The sequence below is a fragment of the Homo sapiens genome, chromosome 8 (genome assembly GCF_000001405.40).
Source record: "Homo sapiens chromosome 8, GRCh38.p14 Primary Assembly".
In the NCBI taxonomy this organism is placed as follows: Eukaryota; Metazoa; Chordata; class Mammalia; order Primates; family Hominidae; genus Homo; species Homo sapiens.
This window is the reverse complement of record NC_000008.11, coordinates 43,074,253-43,094,958: the sequence shown is the minus strand read 5'-3', so window position 1 is coordinate 43,094,958 and position 20,706 is coordinate 43,074,253. Positions and strand designations below refer to the sequence as shown.

At 43.3% G+C, this 20,706-nt stretch overlaps 2 protein-coding genes across 4 annotated transcripts in view, besides 4 other annotated features; both read right to left on the bottom strand.

Annotated features, from left to right (window-relative positions):
- POMK (protein O-mannose kinase) overlaps positions 1-1,444 on the bottom strand; it is a 29,920-nt gene extending 28,476 nt beyond the window's left edge. For both annotated transcript variants that reach the window (NM_032237.5, NM_001277971.2), the window contains exon 1: positions 1,396-1,444. The gene's annotated coding sequence lies outside the window, so the exon portion shown is untranslated. The remainder of the gene's footprint in view (positions 1-1,395) is intronic.
- Positions 668-1,573: an enhancer, noted in NCBI's record as "H3K27ac-H3K4me1 hESC enhancer chr8:42948529-42949434 (GRCh37/hg19 assembly coordinates)". NCBI's record gives its function as "activates a minimal SCP1, AML or CMV promoter by ChIP-STARR-seq in primed H9 embryonic stem cells {active_cell/tissue: H9 hESC(primed)}" and the evidence as "EXISTENCE:reporter gene assay evidence [ECO:0000049][PMID:30033119]".
- Positions 1,207-1,416: a silencer, noted in NCBI's record as "silent region_19163". NCBI's record gives its function as "represses an Ori minimal core promoter by ATAC-STARR-seq in GM12878 lymphoblastoid cells {active_cell/tissue: GM12878}" and the evidence as "EXISTENCE:reporter gene assay evidence [ECO:0000049][PMID:35858748]".
- Positions 1,574-2,480: an enhancer, noted in NCBI's record as "H3K27ac-H3K4me1 hESC enhancer chr8:42947622-42948528 (GRCh37/hg19 assembly coordinates)". NCBI's record gives its function as "activates a minimal SCP1, AML or CMV promoter by ChIP-STARR-seq in naive and primed H9 embryonic stem cells {active_cell/tissue: H9 hESC(naive and primed)}" and the evidence as "EXISTENCE:reporter gene assay evidence [ECO:0000049][PMID:30033119]".
- Positions 3,815-4,004: an enhancer, noted in NCBI's record as "active region_27321". NCBI's record gives its function as "activates an Ori minimal core promoter by ATAC-STARR-seq in GM12878 lymphoblastoid cells {active_cell/tissue: GM12878}" and the evidence as "EXISTENCE:reporter gene assay evidence [ECO:0000049][PMID:35858748]".
- FNTA (farnesyltransferase, CAAX box, subunit alpha) overlaps positions 9,174-20,706 on the bottom strand; it is a 29,463-nt gene continuing 17,930 nt past the window's right edge. For both annotated transcript variants that reach the window (NR_033698.2, NM_002027.3), the window contains 4 exons: positions 17,595-17,743; positions 11,779-11,841; positions 10,078-10,249; positions 9,174-9,799 (listed from right to left, as the gene is read on the bottom strand). Coding sequence is in view for 1 of the 2 variants with exons in the window: in NM_002027.3 (NP_002018.1) it covers positions 9,677-9,799; positions 10,078-10,249; positions 11,779-11,841; positions 17,595-17,743 (507 nt within the window). In the remaining variant the exon portion in view is untranslated. The remainder of the gene's footprint in view (positions 9,800-10,077; positions 10,250-11,778; positions 11,842-17,594; positions 17,744-20,706) is intronic.

Sequence of the window (20,706 nt, the reverse complement as noted above, 5' to 3'; positions counted from 1 at the left end):
GTGTCCAGAAGTAAGCAAAAACCACTGAAATTTACTGGTCCTGAAAACAGCCTGCACATTAAGGAATAAAGATGGTGGGGCAGGTTGGGCAGAAGAAATTCAGGCACGACTGAAATGCAAAGCATTTCTGACACTGATAGGAAGGCTTATTGATAGAGAAAGGCTTGGGACCCACTGCTCCACATTTACAGCTTAAAAAGAAAAGAAAAGCAAAGGGACAAAACTAGTTTTTACCGACTTACAAGATATTTTCTACAACTAGGGAAGACACAGAGTAATGTCATCCAATACAGTTTAGAGTAGAATTCCATTGCGCCAATAAAGCACAAGGTACATTAAGAGGATTATTTTAAATATTCTGAACGCTTATTTAGCCTTAAGGTTCTATAGCAAAGGCAAAGGGTGGCAAAGACAAGATTATGCAACAAAACAGCGAAATTTTGCTTTCTAAAAAAAAGAGAATATGATTACACTTAACACCTCCTGGCAACAATGATCTCGTGCAGAATAAACACCCAAAGGCAAAGAGCTGAGACAGAGTCCTCGGTCCTTTCTGGTTTTTTTGTTTTTTGTTTTGTTTTGGTTTGGTTTGGTTTTTGTTTTTTTAAACAGAGACAGCCTCTGCCGGACCCAGTAGCTCACGCCTGTAATCCCAGCACTTTGGGAGGCAGAGGCGGGCGGATCACCTGAGGTCAGGCGTTCGAGACCAGCCTGACCAACATGGGGAAACCCCGTTTCTACTAAAAATACAAAAATTAGCCGGGCGTGGTGGCGGACGCCTGTAATCCCAGGAGCCAAGACCGCGCCACTACACTCCAGCCTGGGCGACAGAGCGAGACTCCGTCTCAAATAATAATAATAATGATAAAGTAATAATAATAGAAACAGCCTCTCACTCTGGCCCCCAGGCTGAAGTGCAGTGGCGCGATTTCGGCTCACTGAAACCTCCGCCCCCGCCGGGTTCAAGCATTCTCCCGCCTCAGCCTCCGGAGTAGATAAGACTATAGGCGGCGCCACCGCGCCCGGCTAAGTGCTTTTTTACGGAGACAGAAGTTCCGCCATGTTGCCCAGGCTGCTCTCGCCTGAGCTCACGCGATCCTCCCGCCTCGGCCTCCCAAAGCGCTGGGATTACAGGCTGGAGCCACCTCGCCGGGCCCTTCTCTGGTTCTTTAACGTCCCGCTACCGCGCAGGGGTGGACGCGGAGATAGGGGCTGGGCGCGGTGGACACGGCCGCTCAGGCCCAGCGCAGCCTCCTAGGGAGCCTCCGGACAGGCCGCGGGCAGGCGGCCGGGGCTGCGGGGGGTGCGGCCCAGGCCACGTACAGGGTCCCCCGGGAAACCCAGCTGCACGCCCCCTCGCCCCTTCGCCCTCTCACCCCTCGCCGCAGCACCTACCTGCAGCCCAAGCCTCTGCGGCTCCTGCCACCCCGGGCCAGCACGCACTGGGCCTACTGCGCTTGCGCGTTCGGAAGCGCGTCCTGGGCGGGTGAGCGTGGCGCTGCTGCCCCCTGGCGTCCTCCTCCGGCCGTGCACTGAAGCCGGAGCGAACGCCGCGGCGGTACCAGCGCGCACCTACCCAGTCTCCCTGTCTGGCTTCTGCTTCCCTAACTTGGGAGAACGATTTTGTGTTGACCGACTATTGCTTCAGCCTGGAGCCAGGCTCATGCAGAGCAGCTGTCAGATCTAGACGCACTGCGAGGCCTTCCAAAGCGTAGTCCTCAGACCCGCGGCATCTGCAGGGACCTTGCTGGAAAGGCTGATTCCCAGCTCCGGCCCAGACCCGCCACTCGGGGACCCAGATGCCTGAAGTTGGACAATCGCTCTGTAAAAGAAACTGTGGGGCTTAGCCTAGACGCAGTAAAGCTGAGCTGCACACATCAAGCGCAGCAGACAAGACCTTGGCAAGCCTCCGCGGAGGGGCAGGACTGGGCAAAGGCGGGGAAGTCCGTCGAGGGCCGGCCAGGAGCCCTGCCGGGAGCCCAACACGCACTCGGGCGCTTGCTCCGGGAAACCGAAAGGGAGGCTTGCAGCATCGAAGTCAGCTGGGTCATGGAACGTCTAGGTTGTGTACATCGGAAGCGTTAGCTGCTTCTACACTGACACACTGCGAAAGTCCAGAATCAAGACAGTAACATGGTGTGGGTTAAAAAAACTGAGCCGGTACTAGCTATCCAAACAGTATTAAAATTAACAGAAACGTTTGCCTATCACATGGACAAACAGCGGTAATACCTCCTGTCGTTACAGTAGAGTCTGAAAGTTTCCTCACACATACAAGTGAGTGTAAATTGGAATTCCTCCTACGTGCCCTAGCAAATCCATTTCTAGGAATTTATCCTTCAGAAATAACGTCTGTGGCCGGGCGCCGTGGCTCATGCCTGTAATCCCAGGACTTTGGGAGGCCGAGGTGGGCGGATCACGAGGTCAGGAGACCGAGACCATCCTGGATAACACGGTGAAACCCCGTCTCTACTAAAAATACAAAAAATTAGCCGGGCATGGTGGCGGGCGTGAGAATGGCGTGAACCCGGGAGGCGGAGCTTGCAGTGAGCCGAGATCGCGCCACTGTACTCCAGCCTGGGTGACAGAGCGAGACTCCGTCTCAAAAAAAAAAAAAAAAAAAAAGAAAAAGAAATAATATGTCTGCAAGATGTATGCACAAGAGATCTTGCTGAAGCATTGCTGATAAAAGATATTTATAATAGAGAAAAAAAGAAACCTGAATGTATAACAATAGGGGTTTCTGAAAGAAATTATATTACATCCACATAGCCATGAAAAATACTAACGGGTGCACAGTTTCAGTGTGAGAAGATGGTAAAGTCCTGGAGATGGATGGGGGTGATGGTTGCACAACAGTGTGAATATACACCAATAAATTGGGTGGAGGCCGAGAGCTCGGGGCCGTGAGCAAGCCTCCAACGCTCCGGTCCCCCGGACCCGCCTTTTAAACTCTTATTCTAATTCCTTTGTCTTCGCTGGACTCGGGGTACCCGCCGGGTGGTGTGGGGCTGGTTTCCCCAACAACTTCACTCTAGCCTGGGCAAAAGAGCAAAGCTCCGTCTCAAACAAACAAAGATAGAAACCAACCAGCAGCTCTCCTTGCTGAGTTCTTTGCCACGTGGCCACCATTTTGTGCCCACAGGCTTTTTGGGGGTGCTGGGAAAAGGTGAAATTTTAACACTGATGAAAAATTAGAGGAATTAAATTCAAACAAAAAATTAAAAATAAAAAGAACAGCAGAATTTGACGCACCATCAAACTGGTTGTGTCACCCATCTTCAAGCTGAAGGTAGTCCAAAGCCTGGAACTGAGTGTCGGGGGCACACACAGAGACTCGGGAGAAACCCTCTGATTCTGGCTCGTGGAGCAGAAAAGGAAACTCCTAACCCTCAGAGGGAGTGAAGAAAATTCCCTGTTCTTTCTATTTTCTTCTTTTCTTTGCACTCCAGCCCCCAGTCAAGCCCAAGGCCAGAGCAAAAAGCTTCAGCAGCCAAAAGTCTGAGGGAAAGAGATAGTCCTTTCCATTCAGTAGCACTGCAGCTCCAAGAGGACAGACACAAACTTGGTGTTTTGTTGTTTTTAACTGTTTCCCACTGCTGTGGCACAATTGTGGAAGTGGGCAGCTCCCCCAAGCCAAACTGAAAGTGGGAAGTTTCAGACCAGCGCACTGAAACCTGAGGGAACCTAAAAACACTGAGAAGATAGCGGAAGGTGAGAGCATCTGGCAAGCAACCTCACAGAGTTGTTTTTGAACTCTTGGGCTCATCGCTGACCTGCGTATCATCGACTTAACGAGCACACCAAACACTCAGAGAACTGTGCTCATGAACAGATTTTTGTTCAGGTACCAAACTACGGGAGGATGCAGCCACGAGACAGATCCAAATAGCCCCACAGAGGGTATGAACACAGAACTCACTTTGGAACATGAACCCCAGAAGAAGATCGGAACCTGCAGGCTGTCCCTAACTAGTTCATGTGCTTGCTTAAATTAAACTGTTGGCCAGGCGCGGTAGCTCACACCTGTAATCCCAGCACTTAGGGAGGGCAGATCACCTGAGGTTAGGAGTTTGAGACCAGCCTGGTAAACATGGTGGAACCCGGTCTCTACTTAAAAAAAAAAAAAAAAAAAAAATAGCCGGGCATGGTGGCGGATGCCTGTAATCCCAACTGCCCGGAAGGTTGAGGCACAAGAATCACTTGAACCCAGGAGGCAGAGGTTTCAGTGAGCCCAGATCACAGCACTGCACTCTAGCCTGAGTGACAGAGCAAGACTCCTTCTCAAAAAAAAAAAATTAAAATGCCAACATTCTCCATAGGATTTAAACAAGAATTAGAGCCTCATAATATTCAAAATGCTCAGGATACAAAATTGCTAGGCATATGAACCATCACAAAAATCTCAACTTGCATGGGAAAAGATAATCAAGAGTCACCAACTATAAAATGACTGTTAGGATTATCTGAAAAAGACATTAGTTATGAAAATGCTCAAAAAATTATAAACATTCTTGAAACAAAAGTTAAAATAGAAAGTATGGGGCTGGGCACAGTGGCTCGCGCCTGTAATCCCAAGACTTTGAGAGGCTGAGGCAGGCGAATCACTTGAGATCAGGAGTTCGAGACCAGCCTGGCTAACATGGTGAAACCCTGTCTCTATTAAAAATACAAAAATTAGCCGGACATGGTGGCAGGTGCACTCAGGAGGCTGAGGCAGGAGAATCGCTTGTACCTGGGAGGTGGAGGTTGCAGTGAGCCGAGATCGTGCCATTGTACTCCAGCCTGGGCCACCGAGCGAGACTCTGTCTCAAACAAATAAAAAATAATAATTTTAAAAAAGAAAGTATGAGTAAAAAACTTGGAGAAAGTAAGAGGAACCAAATAAACATTTAAAATAGAAAAGTACAATAATCAAATTTTAAAACTCACTGGATAGATTCAATGGCAGAATGGAAATGACAGAGGAGTCAGTGAACATGAAGACAGATTAATAGAAATTATCCAAACTGACCAACAGAGAGGAGGGGAAAATTAATAAAACTTCAAGCACCTGTGGGACATAACAAAAGGTCTAATATTTATGCCATCAGAATCCCAAAGCAGATGAGAAAGAAAGCACTAAAAAGCTTTTGAAGAAATAATGGCTGAAAACTTCCCAAGTTTGGGAAAGAAACACCAACCTACAGATTCAAAAAACTGAGCAAACCCCAAATGCAATAAATCCAAAGACATCCATGCCCAGACACATCAAAATCAAACTGCTGAAAAATAAAGACAAGGAAAAAAAATTGAAAACAGCCAAAGAGAAATGCCACGAGCTGTAGGTGACCCACAATCCTAATGACAGTGAATTTATCCTCTGAGATCATGAAGACCAAAGTGGCACAACGTTTTTCAAGTGCTGAAAGAAAAGAATTGCAAGCCCAGAATTCCATATGCAGTGAAAACATCCTTCAGGAATAACCTTGAAATAAACTAAGATGAAGGAAAACTAAGAGAATTTGTAGCCTGCAGACCTACTCTAACAGAACTGCTAAAAGAGTTCTTTGGTGGCTCAAGCCTGTAATCCCAGCACTTTGGGAGGCTGAGGCGGGCAGATCACCCGAGGTCAGGAGTTCGAGACCAGCCTGGCCAATATGGTGAAATCCCATCTCTACTAAAAATACAAAAATCAGCTGGGCGTGGTGGCACGTGCCTGTAATCCCAGCTACTGGCAAGGCTGAGGCACTGAGGTTGCTTGAACCTGGGAGGCAAAGTTTGCAGTGATCTGAGATCACGCCACTGCACTCCAGCCTAAGCGACAGAGTGAGACTCCATCTCAAAAAAAAGAGAAAGTTCTTTGGACAGAATAACAGAAATGAAAGAATAACAGAGAATATAAATAACTGGGTAAATGCGATACACTCTCCTTCTTTTCTTGAGTTCTTTAAAATATGTTTGGTGGTTTAATACAAAAGTATTATAAGATTATCTGATGGGTTTTTGTTTTTTTTTTTTTTTTTTTGTCTTTTTTTTTCTGTTTTTTTTTTGAGACAGAGTCTCACTCTGTCACCCAGGCTGGAGTGCAGTGGTGCGATCTCGGCTCACTGCAAGCTCTGCCTCCCGGGTTCACGCCATTCTCCTGGCTCAGCCTCCCGAGTAGCTGGGACTACAGGCGCCCGCCACCATGCCCGGCTAATTTTTTGTATTTTTAGTAGAGATGGGGTTTCACCGTGTTATCCACGATGGTCTCGATCTCCTGACCTCGTGATCCGCCCGCCTCGGTCTTCAAAGTGCTGGGATTACAGGCGTGAGCCACCGCGCCCAGCCTCTGATGGGGTTTTCAATGTAAGAAATGGTGAACGGTAAGGAGACATATGGTGGTAATGTTTCCATATGCCAACTGAAGTGACAAAATATTCTAAATAGGCTGTGAAAAGTTGAATATTTTGTAACCCCTGGAGTACCACTAAAACAAAATAAAACCAACTAGAAATAACAGAGATAACAGGAAATTCTCCAAACCCCTGAGAATTAATACTTTTTTTTTTTTTTTTGAGATGAAATTTCACTTTGTTGCCCAGGCTGGAGTACAGTGGTGCAATCTCGGCTCACTGCAACCTCCGCCTCCTGGGTTCAAGTGATTCCCCTGCCTTAGCCCCCCAAGTAGCTGGGATTATAGGTGCGTGCCACCACACCCAGCTAGTTTCTGTATATTTAGTAGAAATGGGGTTTCACTACATTGGCCAGACTGGTCTCAAACTCCTGACCTCAAGTGATCCACCTGCCTCAGCCTCCCAAAGTGCTGGGATTACAGGCATGAGCCACCACGTCCAGCCTAAAATTGTCACTTGAAAGCTCACATTTTTGGCCTGGCACGGTGGCTCATGCCTGTAATCCCAGCACTTTGGGAGGCCGAGGCTGGTAGATGACCTGAGGTCTGGAGTTCAACACCAGCCTCGCCAACATGGGGAAACCCTGTCTCTACTAAAAATACAAAAAATTAGCTGGGCGTGGTGGCGGACGCCTATAATCCCAGCTACTTGGGAGGTTGAGGCAGGAGAATCGCTTGAACCCGGGAGGCGGAGGTTGTGGTGAGCCGAGATCATGCCATTGCTCTCCAGCCTGGGCAACAAGAGTGAAACTCCGTCTCAAAAAAAAAAAAAAAAGCAAGCAAGCAAGCTCACATTTTATCACTGGCAACATTCCGTTGTTTTCCTTGAAATGACAAACTCATTTTTTAAACAGTTTTTGAGACACAGTCTCACTCTGTCACCCAGGCTGCAGTGGCACGACCATGGCTCACTGCAGCCTGGACCACCCTGGCTCAAGTGATCCTCCCACCCCAGCCTCCCGGGTTGCTGGGACTACAGGCGCACACCACTCTTCACTAATAACTTTAAAAAATATTTTTGTAGAGATGAGATCTTGCTGTTGCCCAGGCAGGTCTTGAATTCCAGGGCTCAAGCAGTCCTCCTGCCTCGGCCTCCCAAAGTGCTGGTACTATAGGCATGAGCCACTCCACCCGGCCTCACTATGCTTTTTATTAAGCTGTCTCTATGAGCTCTGTTGAGTCCAAAGTCCCAAATCCAATCAGTTTTGGGTCACCGATTATAGTTTCTGAGAGTAATTGCTTTTTTTTTTTTTTTTTTGAGACTGAGTCTCGCTCTATTGCCCAGGCTGGAGTGTAATGGCACAATCTTAGCTCACTGCAACCTCCACCTCCTGGGTTCAAGCAATTTTCCTGTCTCAGCCTCCCAAGTAGCTGGGATTACAGGTGCCTGCCACCACACCTGGCTAACTTTTGAATTTTTAGTAGAGATGGGGGTTTCACCATGCTGGCCATGCTGGTCTCAAACTCCTGACCTCAAATGATCTGCCCGCCTCGGCCTCCCAAAGTGCTGGGATTACAAGCGTGAGCCATCGTGCCCGGCAGAGAGTAATTGCTATCTTATGAGAACTTTTCTATGTAGCTTTTGATCCTTATGACACCTTTGAAATGGTCTACATGGAAATGGCACTTTATGGCAGCTTCAAAAATAAAACTGGAAATTTTTGGATTCTAAAAATAACAAAAACATGTAAAATGTTAGAAATAACACTACATATATTTTCTTCAAAAAGTATTAAAATATTATTTCCTAAATTTATCTTGAGAAAGGATGACTATGTAACGCTGTATGATTTCCTTAGTTGTATTTTGGTGCTTTGACATTGAACAAAAATTACAGATAAAGTGAGACTGAGGCCGGGCCTGGTGTCTCATGCCTGTAATCCCAACACTTTGGGAGGCCCATGCAGGCAGATTACTTGAGGTCAGGAGTTCATGACCAGCCTGGCCAACATGGTAAAACTCCGTCTCTACTAAAAATACAAAAATTAGCCAGGCATGGTGGCGGGCACCTATAATTCCAGCCACTCGGGATGGTGGGGCAGGAGAATTGCTTGAGCCTGGGCGGTGGAGGTTGCAGTAAGCTGCGATCACGCCACTGCACTCCAGCCTGGGTGACAGAGTGGGACTCCTTGTAAACAAAAAATCAATATATAAAAATAAATAAAGTGAGATTAAGTGCAGGTACAGCAAGCTAGCTTGCTAACCACTCCCAACTCCTTCCTGGCATGGCGTCCTGCATCATAAAAGGCTAGAAAGCTACAAACTACACTTCCCAGATTCCTCTGCAGTTAAGCTTTTAAGACATCCTGTTGGTTCCTTCCAATCAGATGCACTGCAGTGAGCCTTTAATTTGGAACCACACTACATGGGAAAAGCAGCAGATGTGCTTTGCGTGGAACGTGCAGACACAGCACAGTCCTGGAGCTGGCAGCCAGGATCGTGGCTTCCTCACTCCTCATCCAGCAGTTTCCTGATTCTGGCACAGGCAGCAGCAACGGGACGGTCCAGTTGTGTAGCATGGTTTGGGAATGTCTTTCTAAAAGATCAGGCAATTCTTCTGTGAGATATTTATAAACCTGAATAAACCCTTTGGGTTTAAACTACCTTGAGTGGATTTTGTCACTTTCAGTCAAGAACTGACCAATTTACATTTTAACATTTCCTCCAACACATCATGTTTCTAGTTTACAGTTTTATAGCAATATTTTCTTTCTCAAATGCTTTTCTAAGCTGAGACAATGTGTCTTGTATAATATATAGTTCAATGCTATTAAAAAATCAAACTTCTATGGCATTGTTTTTAGATACAGCTATAATTTTATTACAAAACCGTTCTTTTGGCATTAGTTGGTTACAGTGATAGCAAGATAATGTGAGTGTGCAGACCAGCTCTGATGGAACGACTGTATTCCCTGCTTACTGAACCAAACTTCGGCTACCTCACATCCATTACATACAAGTGACCTGCAGTTATTACTGCTACAAATCTTGACGCATGTACCACTGAGGGAGGAGCTGATGCTAAGGGATTAGATTATATGTTGATAAGACTACAAAAGTTCCTTTATGGGACTTTTTCTTCCTCCTCCCATCCAATGACTTTGCTTTAGAAGAATCACATTACTTAGAGCTAGTCTGAGTAGCAGCAGCACCCAAGGAGCATCAGTTCTTGTTAAAAAGCAATACCTGTGTGATGCACTTTTACACCACAGGCAAAGGGAAGGACCACTCTCGTGTGAAACTCCTGCAGGGTCCCTTAATAAAAAATAAAAGCATTCCATCAAGTTCTTCTGGATGGTGTTATTGCTGTACATTTGTTGGTGAGTCATTTTCTGTGCTGTGTTTGCTTTGAAGGGATCTTCCAATGTATCTCCAATATTCCTTTCTTATAGTGTCCTTTTCTTTAGCTAGGATTTCACATAACTGAAAATGAAAAATAAAAATTAAAGTAATATGTAATTCAATTTCAAGCGCAAATGCCTTTGAGCCAATACAATTTAACTCAAATCACATTCAAATGAAGACACACTATTAAGAGTCACCGGCTGTGTTGCCAAGTGATGTCAATGCTGCCCCTAACCAGAAATAGCCCTGCACTGAATTCTGAGGAACGATGTTGAAAGGGGACATGGATATTAGTGGTATTGGGCAGATCAATTCTGAGATACCAAAAATGACAGCACTGAGCCCCACCAGCTTACCTCTAATGCTTTATTAAGAATGTCTTCCTTATTGTCACACTGATTTTCTAGCATGTCTTCATAGATATCCACAAGAAAGGCAATTAGGTAGGGGGAACTATGACTTGGTTGTAAATCAAGTAATTGATTTAACAGATTAGGATATTTGGAAAGACCACGATCCTGCAAAATCCTGTAAACAACAACAAAAAACAAAGACTTGATTTTGTGAAGGAAGAACAAAAGCAGTAGAAAGATCAAGAGAAAATAAACCCTGAAACACAAACAAGAAAAGGAGAGTTATTTTGAATGAATGACGCTGAAACTATAATGAAACTTTTAAATTACATGAGTCTTATCATAGATCATTAGTTAATTAAGAGCTGGCCAGGTGCAGTGGCTCATGCCTGGGAAACACTCTGGGAAACAGAGGCAGGAGGAACACTTGAACCCAGGAGTTCAAGACCAGCCTGGGTAAAATAGCAAGATCTCGTCTCTACTAAAATTTTTTTAAAAATCAGCCATGCCTAGTGGTGGCACCTATAGTCTCAGCTACTTGGGAGGCTGAGGTGGGAGAATCACTAGAGCCTAGGAGATCGAGACTGCAGTGGGCCACGATCATGCCACTGCCCTCCAGCCTAGGCAACAGAGTGAGATCCTGTCTCCAAAAAAAAAAAAAAAAAAAGGATAATTACAAGCTAAGTAGAAAAAGTTTTTAAAAATGAAGTTTAAAAGTGTTCATTTATAACTTAAACTGTACAACACACAAAATAAATCATCTTAAAAAGTGAAGGACAAAACCAGGAGAGATGTTCTTCTTTTTTTTTTTTCTTTGAGACAGGGTCTCTTGTCGCCCAGGCTGGGGCACAGTGGTGTGATCTTGGCTCACTCTGACCTCCACCTCCAGGTTCAAGCAACTCTCGTGCTTCAGCCTCCCAAGTAGCTGGGATTACAGGTGTGCACCAACATGCTCAGCTAATTTGTATATTTTTAGTAGAGACGGGGTTTTGCCATGTTGGCCAGGCTGGTCTCGACCTCCTAGCCTCAAGTAATCCGCCCATCTTGGCCTCCCAAAGTGCTGGGATTGCAGGCATGAGCTAACATGCCCAGCCCTCGTCTTCTCTTGAGATGGCTTCTCATCCCTCGAGCTCTCCAAATACTACAGGCACCTCCCCTGACACATCTCCAAGGGTAACTGGTTCCATACTTTGTGCTCTTTGAGCCTAGTTTCCTTGAAGACCTCTTATGTTCAACAAGGAGCTTAGTTACGTCAGTGGCCAGGCAAGTGAAACCTTTTCTAGTTGAGGAGTAGGTTAACCTGAAGGCGGAGATCTCTAGAAATGAAAACAGAAAGGTTGGCTGCCCACTGGCAAAATCTACCTGTAAACTACCCCGCTTTACTGTGTTCCTGAGCCAACTAGAGCCTGGGGGTGTGTGTGTTCCATTCTTTGATATAAAGACTACAGGATTCTTAAATACAATTAAAATGGCATTATTTACTGGTGGATTATTCTGAAAACAGTGTTGGTAGGTACTTGGGAGGTGCATAGAAGGGCAAACTCCCAGAGAGTTTCCATAATGCTGTTATACTTCTGCTCTTAGGTTCAGAAAAATGAAAAATTATTTACTATCCTTTTGGAATCTGATTATGGAATACACTCCATGATGCATCATATAGCCACTTCTTTTTTATATATAAAAAAAGCAAAAACAACCTCTTACCCTTTCAAATAGTTCCATGCACTTTCATTATGTGGTACTAGTTTAATCATTTCCAGAGTGTATCTGCAAGAAAAATATATATATACAATTTTAAAAGAACAGTGCAATGATGAGACACAGTTTTTTTTTTTTTCTGAAACGGAGTCTTGCTCTGTCACCCAGGCTGGAGTGCAGTGGCACAATCTCAGCTCACTGCAACCTCCGCCTCCCAGGTTCAAGTCATACTCCTGCCTCAGCCTCCCGAGTAGCTGGGACTACAGGCGCCCACCACCACACCCAGCTAATTTTTGTATTTTTAGTAGAGACAGGGTTTCACCATATTGGCCAGACTGGTCTTGAACTCCTGACCTTGTGATCCGCCTGCCTCGGCCTCCCAAAGTGCTGGGATTATAGGCATGAGCCACTGCGCCCGGCCAAGACACAGTTTTACTAAGACTGTGGCACAGCTTTGTAAACACACTTTCACTTGTGTCAGCGTTTCTTAGTGTACTGTGGCACCTCTCTCAGTCATATTTAAATCACGAGAATCCCTTAAGGCTGCAGCTGTCAATTCAGTTCTAGGGAAGGACACAAAACTAATCTAAAAGCTTCAATTCACAATAGGAAAAAAAGGAACATAAAATATTTCCTTTAAATAATATGGAAGATTTTCCTTTTGAAGGAAACATCAGCTAAAAGAAGGAAACTTTCCATTTATTGGTAAAGCAACCTTGGGGAAACAGTCTAAGCTCTACTTACGTCCCAACAAATCCCTAGTCACTGAAATAGGAGAATTTACATAATCTTTAGCTATCATTAAAAAATGGCATGGAAATTACATAGGCAAAGAATAAAAATGAAAAATCAACACAAGAATGTATTTCTTATATTCCAAAGCAAGATGACTAGTAAACTGTGATGTGATTCCCTGTCAAAATGGGTGCTCCATACCTTTATCTTCCCCTTAAACAGATTAAATATAATTCAGACTCAATTATCACAAATCCCAAGGAAGCCACAGAACTTGCTTTACCACATAATTGCTCAGATGAGTAAGTCACTGACTAAAGCTTGGTAGTCTTGGTTCTGCTGCAGTGCTGTTACTATAATTTTTTTTTTTCCACAGAGTAATAATAAACTCATTCAACATTATAAAAATACTTTTCCAACTACTTTTACATGACTTAATGTTTCCAATTATTTGCGAAACCATGTCCCCGCAGGTCTTAGCTGGTCCTTGTTTAAGATTCTTAATTTCATTTTGGCAATATCTAAATTTTTATTTACATACATGTGTACTAAAGCATTACCTATTTTTATGGTTAAAACATGAACTTTAGCTGGGCATGGTGGCTCACATCTGTAATCCCAGCACTTTCAGAGATCAAAGCGGGAAGACTGCTTGAGGCCAGGAGATCAAGACCAGTCTGGGCAACATAGTGAGACCTCATCGCTACAAAAAATTTTAACAATTAGCTGGATGCAGTGGCACATGCCTGTAGTCCCAGCTACTCGCAGGCTGAGGTGGGAGGATTCCTTCAGCTCAGGAGCTCAAGGCAGCAGTGAGCTATGATCCGTCACTGCACTCCAGCCTGGGTGACAGAGTGAAACCCTGTCTCTTAGGAAAACAAACAAACAAAAAGACCGATGAACTTTGAGGTCAGGCTGCCTCGCTTCAAATCCTGGTCCCATAAATTATGTGCTCTTGGGCAAATTACAGAATTACCTGGAACCTCAAGTTCTTCATGAAGTGTCTCACAGAGCTGTTAGAATTAGTGGCATATAGTAAATGCTTGATAAATGCTGTTATTGGTAGTACTAGAAGACTATGCACTCATAGTCTAGAAAAAGGGCCATGACACATTAACTGAAAAGGCAATGCCTGTAACATTATTATCTAGGTTGCTGTGTATAAATGTTTGCAAGTGTATTTATAAAGTTTGGAAAAATTCACCCAATTATAGCTCACTCTGGAAAATGGGATGTGGGATGAAGAACAGTAAAAGACTTTGACTTTTTACTTTATAGAATTTAGTACAATTTCCCCCCCCATAACTACATTGCATTACTTTTATAATAAAAAGAAAAAAATGACAAAAATAATTATGTACATCTATCTGTGTATGCTTAGAGTTAAAAAAAATTTAACAAACTGTAAATTCTAGATACCTACAGCTACTCTTCACATTTTAAATACTTCTTTTACCCATCTTAAAAGGAAAATAAATCCTAAGTATAGGAAGCTCTTTTAGATTCTTGGGTAATTATTTCTGTTTCTATTTGGCAACAGGAAGCCAGTGATCTGCCTCTGAAAAGGCTAAACGTTTGCATTTTGAAAACTCTTCATATTCAATTTTTAAAATGCTTTGTTACCGCTAACTACTGTCAATCTTTAGACGAATAATGTTCAATAAAACTGCCAGTGATGATGCAAATGTTTTGTATGTGCTGTCCAATATGGTAGTCACTAGCCACATGTACGTACTGAACGCCCAAAATAGGACATGTGCAATGAAATAATTGTATTTTTAATTTTTTATAATCATACCGATTGAAACTTAAATAGCCATATGTGGCTAGTAGCTACCATACTGAACAATACAGGAATACCTTGCAGATATGGAAGGTTCAGTAAAGCAATTTTATCACAATTAAGCAAGTCACACGACTTTTCTTTTTCCCAGCACATATAAATTATGTTTACACTATATTGTAGTCTAGTATGCAATAGCATCATATCTAAAAAAACAATGTACATACCTCAATTAAAAAATACTTTATTGCTAAAAAATGCTAATGATCATCTGAGCCTTCAGCAAGTCGTAATCTTTCTGCTGGTGGAGGGTCTGGCCTCCATGTTGATGGCTGCTGACTGATCAGGGTAGGGTGCTGGGTGCTGAAGGATGAGATGGCTGTGGCAATTTCTTAAAATAAGACAACAATAAAAGATTTCTCTGTAGCATGTGATGCTGTCTGATAGCATTTTACTCACAGTAAAACTTTTCAAAACTGGAGTCAATCCTCTCATATATCCTGCTGCTTTATCAACTAAGTTCAGGTAATATTTACAATATTTAAAATCCTTTGTTGTCATTTCAACAATGTCATTTCACAACGTCGTTGCCAGGATTAGATTCCATCTTGAGAAACCACTTCTTTTGCTCATCCATAAGAAGCGACTCCTCATCTGATCAAGTATTGTCTTGATGCAGCAGTTCGGTCACATCTTCAGGCTCCACTTCTAATTCTAGTTTCCTTGCTGTTTCCACCACAGCAGCAGTTCCTTCTTCCTCTAAAGTCTTGAACCCCTCAAAGTCATCCATGAGGGCTGGAATCAACTTCTTCCAAACTCCTGTTAATGTTGGTATTCTGACCTCCTCCTATGAATCACGAATATTCCTAATAGCACCTAGAATGGTAAATTCTTCCCAGAAGGTTTTCAATTGACTCTGCAGATTCATTGGAGGAATCACTATCTATGGTAGCTCATAGCCTTACAAAATTTATTTCTTAAATAGTGAGACTTTAAAATCAAAATGACTCCTTTATCCATGGGCTGCAGAATGGATGTTGTGTTCGCAGGCATGAAAACAGCATCTCCTTGCACATCTCCATTAGAGCTCTTGGGTGATGAGGTCCGTTGTCCATGAACAATCATATTTTCCAAGAAATTTTTCTGAACAACAGACCTCAAAGAGGGCTTAAAATATTCAGTAAACCATGCTGTAAACAGATGTGCTGTCATCCAGGCTTTGTTGTTCCATTTATAGAGCACAGGCAGAGGAGATTCAGCATAATTCTTAAGGGCCCTAAGATTTCCAGAATCATCACCGAACACTGGTTTCAACTTCAAGTCACCAGCTGCATTGGGCCCTAACAAGATTCAGCCAGCTGTGTGAAGCTTTGAAGCAGTGCCTTCTCTCTAGCTATGAAAAGTCTTAGATGGCATCTTCTTCCAATAGAAGGCTGTTTCATCTACACTGAAAATCTTCTGTTTACATGCAGCCACCTTCATTAGTGATCTGAGCGGGATCTGGAAAACTCACTGCAGCTTCTCCAGCAGCACTTGCTGCTTCACCTTGCACTTCCATGCTATGGAGATGGCTTCTTTCTTATACCTCATGAACCAACCTCTGCTAGCATCCAAGTTTTCTTCTGCAGCTTCCTCACTTCTCTCAGCCTTCATCAAATTAAAGAGAATTAGGGCTTCCTCTGGATTAGGCTTTGGCTTAAGGGAATGTTGTGGCTGGTTTTATCTTTTATCCAGGCCACTCAAACTTTCTCTATACCAGCAATAATGCTGTTTTGTCCAGGTGTTCACTGGAGCAGCACTTTTAATTTCCTTCAAGAACTCTTTCTTATGAGTTTGGTGTTTGGTGCAAGAGGCCTAGCTTTGGACCTATCTCAGCTTTTGATATGTGTTCCTCACTAAGCTTAATCACTTCTGGCTTTTGATTTAAAGTGAGAGGCTGTGACTCTTCCTTTCACTTGAACACTCAGAGGACACTGTAGGGTTAATTGGCTTAATTTCAATATTGTTGTGTCTCAGGGAATAGGGAGGCCTGAGGTGAGGGAGAGAGATGGTGGAACACATGCAACAGTGATATTCTCTGTTTTATATGGGTGCAGTTAGTGGCACCCCCAAACAATTACAATAGATGACTGATCAAAGATGACTGATCACAAATCACTGGAACAGATATAATGATTATGAAAAAATGTGAAATACTGAGGAGTACCAAAATGTGACACGGAGACACAAGTGAGCACATGCTGTTAGAAAGAATGGCAATGAAGACATGCTCAACTCAAGATTGCTCAAGATGCTTCAACTTGTTAAAAAAAACAAAAAACAAACAAAAAAAAAAAACATAATATATACAAGGCTCAAAAAACCAGGTATGCCTGTACAGCTTTATATAGGAGAGCACTAGAAAAAAAGCATGAAGTGTGCTTGAGGGGTAGTGCACGCTCCAGACAAAAGCCCAGAGCAGAGTGTTAAGGTGAGACATGGATTAAAGCCTTTTATAAATTTTAAGTCACCAGAATCCTGTATAGAGCAGATAAAAGAAGAGCAAGCTGCCTCGATCCAGGCAAAATCAAGAGCTTGGAAGAGAGGAGATGCACTATACAAATCAGCTCCACTCAACAGTTGTTCAAACACATTTACACTAAAATTATGACTCCCATCTCATCAGGCTCTGAAAACAACAAGCCTGTTCAAATTGTAAAACAGACACTCAGACACAATGGACAAATAAGGTCACAAAAATCGTGGCTACTAATGTTTATGGATACAATATAGAAATTGATGCCAATTCAGAAATGTCTAGCTCTAATAACAGCTCTTTGTATAGAGCGGTTCTCAACTTGGGGGTGACTTTACCGCTCGGGGGACATTTGGCAATGTCTGAAAACATTTTTGTTTTAAGGCCAGGATGCTGCTAAATACCCTACAAAACACAGGATAGCCACCTACAACAAAAACTTATCCAGCCCCAAACTCTGCACTAGGGTAACATGGCATCTGGGGACGATTATCTAAAATGCAACAAAATTTAATGAGATGGTTTTAAAATAAAGCTTCTTAGACAATACCCCATAACATTAAGATTTCTTTCCAATCTCCAGTAGCAATATTTCAAGAAACTTAAGATACAATGAAGTAGAAGTATGCTACATTATTTGTAAATCTATCATCCTATGTTCCACTCAGTACTCTGTCCTCTTTTAGTTCCATGGGGTAGGATCTTGATCTGCTGTATCCCCAGTGCCTGAGATATGGTAGGCATGCAAACATGTTTGTAACGAATGAGCAAGTGAAGGAGATTACTAACTGGACTTCTCTCTCCAATACAGCACGATCATTGTAGCCAGTGGTGTTAGAAATAACGAAGTATCTTTGGTTCCAGACAGAGTTATTTCTCACATCCTCTTTCAGAAGTTGGTCCACATACTGCAGCTCATTATCCCAAAGTTTAAATTCCTAAAGGAAAAATTTAGAAAAATCATCCAATTAGAAATGTCCCATTATTTATGAATAAAAAATAAATTAAAACTACAACAAAGAAGGTAGAACTGAGGACACAGGATTTATCACAAATTCAGAAGGTAGTGATAGCTGCAAGTAAAGGAAATAGAGGGGGATACAAGTATGAAATTGATGATAGAGCCTGGAAAGACACATACAGAAAGCAGGAAAAAAGACATCCAAGAAAATTTTGAGGGAAAAAAACCCCAAACTCACTAGTAAGAGAAGGAGTGACCACAGTATAGATATAAATTTGATGTGACTTGATATTAATATATCTTATTATTATTTTTTTGAGGCAGTTTCACTCTTGTTGCCCAGGCTGGAGTGCAATGGCGTGAACTCAGCTCACTGCAACCTCCACTTCCTGGGTTCAAGCGATTCTCCTGCCTCAGCCTCCCAAGTAGCTGGGATTACAAGCATGCGCCACCACACCTGGCTAATTTTGTATTTTTAGTAGAGATGGGGTTTCTCCACGTTGGTCAGGCTGGTCTTGAACTCCCAACCTCAGGTGATCCGCCCACCTCGGGCTCCTAAAGTGCTGGGATTACAGGCGTAAGCCACCGTACCTGGCCGATATTAATATATCAAAGTAAAAGGGCAGCATTCAAAAATGAAAATTAAGTAAAAGGGTAGCATTCAAAAGTGCACATATGATAAAATTACATTAAAATACATGGAGAGAAGCATACATGGTCAATAGTGGTGGCTCTCATGGGCAATCCCACTGCTTCAGGAGGCTGAGGCAGAAAGGTCACTTGAGGCCAGGAGTTCGAGACCAGCAGAGGCAACATAACAAGATCTTGTCTGGAAAAATAATAAAGACAGTCCGGGCACGGTGGCTCAAGTTTGTAATCCCAGCACTTTGGGAGGTCGAGGTGGGTGGATCACCTGAGGTCAGGAGTTTGAGACCAACCTGGCCAACATGGCTAAACCCCATCTCTACTAAAAACACAAAAATTAGCCGGGTGTGATGACAGGCGCCTGTAATCCCGGTTACTTGGGAGGCTGAGGCAAGAGAATCGCTTGAACCCGTGAGGTGGAGGTTGCAATGAGCTGAGATCGTGCCATTGCACTCAAGCCTGGGGGACAGAGCAAGGCTCTGTCTCCAAAAAATAAAAACAATAAAAATAAAAAAATTAGTCGGGCATCGTGGCACATGCCTAGAATCCCAGCTACTCAGGAGGCTGAAGAGGATCACTTGAGCCCCGGAGTTTAAGGCTGCAGTGAGCTATGACTGCACCACTGCACTCTGGGCGACAGAAACAGACCCTGTCCCAAAAAAAAAAAAGAAAAAGAAAAAGAAAAGAAATATACACAATTGGACAAAGATATAAATTTCTATTATTTTTATTGAGACAGCGTCTCACTTGGTCGCCCAGGCTGCAGTGCAGTGGCATAGTCTCAGCTCGCTGTAACCTCCAACTCCCAGACTCAAGCGATATTCTTGCCTCAGCTCCTCAAGTAGCTGGGACTACAGGTGTGAGCCAACATAACCGGCTAATTTTTGTAGTTTTCGTAGAGACCAGGTTTTACCATGTTGGCCAGGCTGGTCTTGAACTCCTGAACTCAAGTAATCTGCCCACCTCGGCCTCCCAAAGTGCTGGGATTACAGGCATGAGCCACCACACCCAGGCAATATAAATTTTTTATATTATAAAGCTCTCTTAATAAAAAAAAATGGGGGAAGAGAACCAATAAAGATAATTTAAAAGAGGAAAATGATAAAAAAAACTTATAAATAATTTGAAAGTAGGGGACATTATAAAAAAGATAATGGAGTTTTCTTATTTGGTAACAGCAAAAAAGTAAGAATCTCCTATGATAGTCCCCGATTTTACAGGTGATCATAAAAATAAACGCATTAAGGAAAGTAACATTTTTGTGAAAGTTCCTAGTGGAGTTCAGGAACTAGTGCCTAGTGTGGGCACTGATTGGTGTCCTCCCACTGTTCTCAGTCTCCAGCATGCTAAGGATAGAGAGTAAACACCTACAAGCTTTTGTATCAATGTAACAATTTAATGTCTGTAGAGTCTAATAATGAAAAACAAAGAGTAGTGTTTTCTATACATATGTTTCTATTTGTTTTCAGACTCATGGAAGTTATAAAAATAACACAGTGCCCTGTGTACCCTTCACTTAGATTCCCCAAATGGTAAACATCTTACTAAAGTGCAATCCCAAAACCAGAAAATGACATCTGTACATTATTGTTAATGGAACCGCTCACCTTATTCAGATCTTACATGTACTCACTTGTGGGTATGTGGGACAGGTGGAGGAGTGGGGGTAGAATATAATTCTACACAATTTAATCCCATGTATAGTATAACTACCACAATCAAGATGGAGAACTATTCCCTCAGCACACAGAAACTACCTCATGCTACCCCTTTATAGCTGTACCCCCTTTTCCCTCACCCTGGCAACCTCTGATCTGTTCTCTACGTCTATAATTTTGCTGTTTCAAGGATATTATCTCAATGGAGCCATACAGTATGAAACCTGAGACTTCCCCTTCCACTAAGGATCATACCCTTGAGATCCATCCAAGTTGTTGCCGGTATGGATCATTCATTTCTTTTGACTGGTGAGTAGTAGTGTGTGTGTGTGTGTGTGTATTTCACTTTTAATTTTTTTTCTTTTGAGACAGGGTCTCATTTTGTTGCCCAGGATGGACTGTGGTGGCGTGAGCATAGCTCACCACAGCCTCCACCTCTTGGGCTCAAGTGATTCTCCTGCCTCAGCCTCCTGAGTAGCTGCGAACACAAGCATGCGCCACTACGCTCGTCTCATTTTTTTGTATTTTTTGTAGAGACGGGGTTTTGCCATGTTGCCAGGCTAGTCGTGAACTCCTGGCCTCACGGGATCCACTTGCCTGGGCCTCCCAAAGTGTTGGGATTACAGGCGTGAGCCAC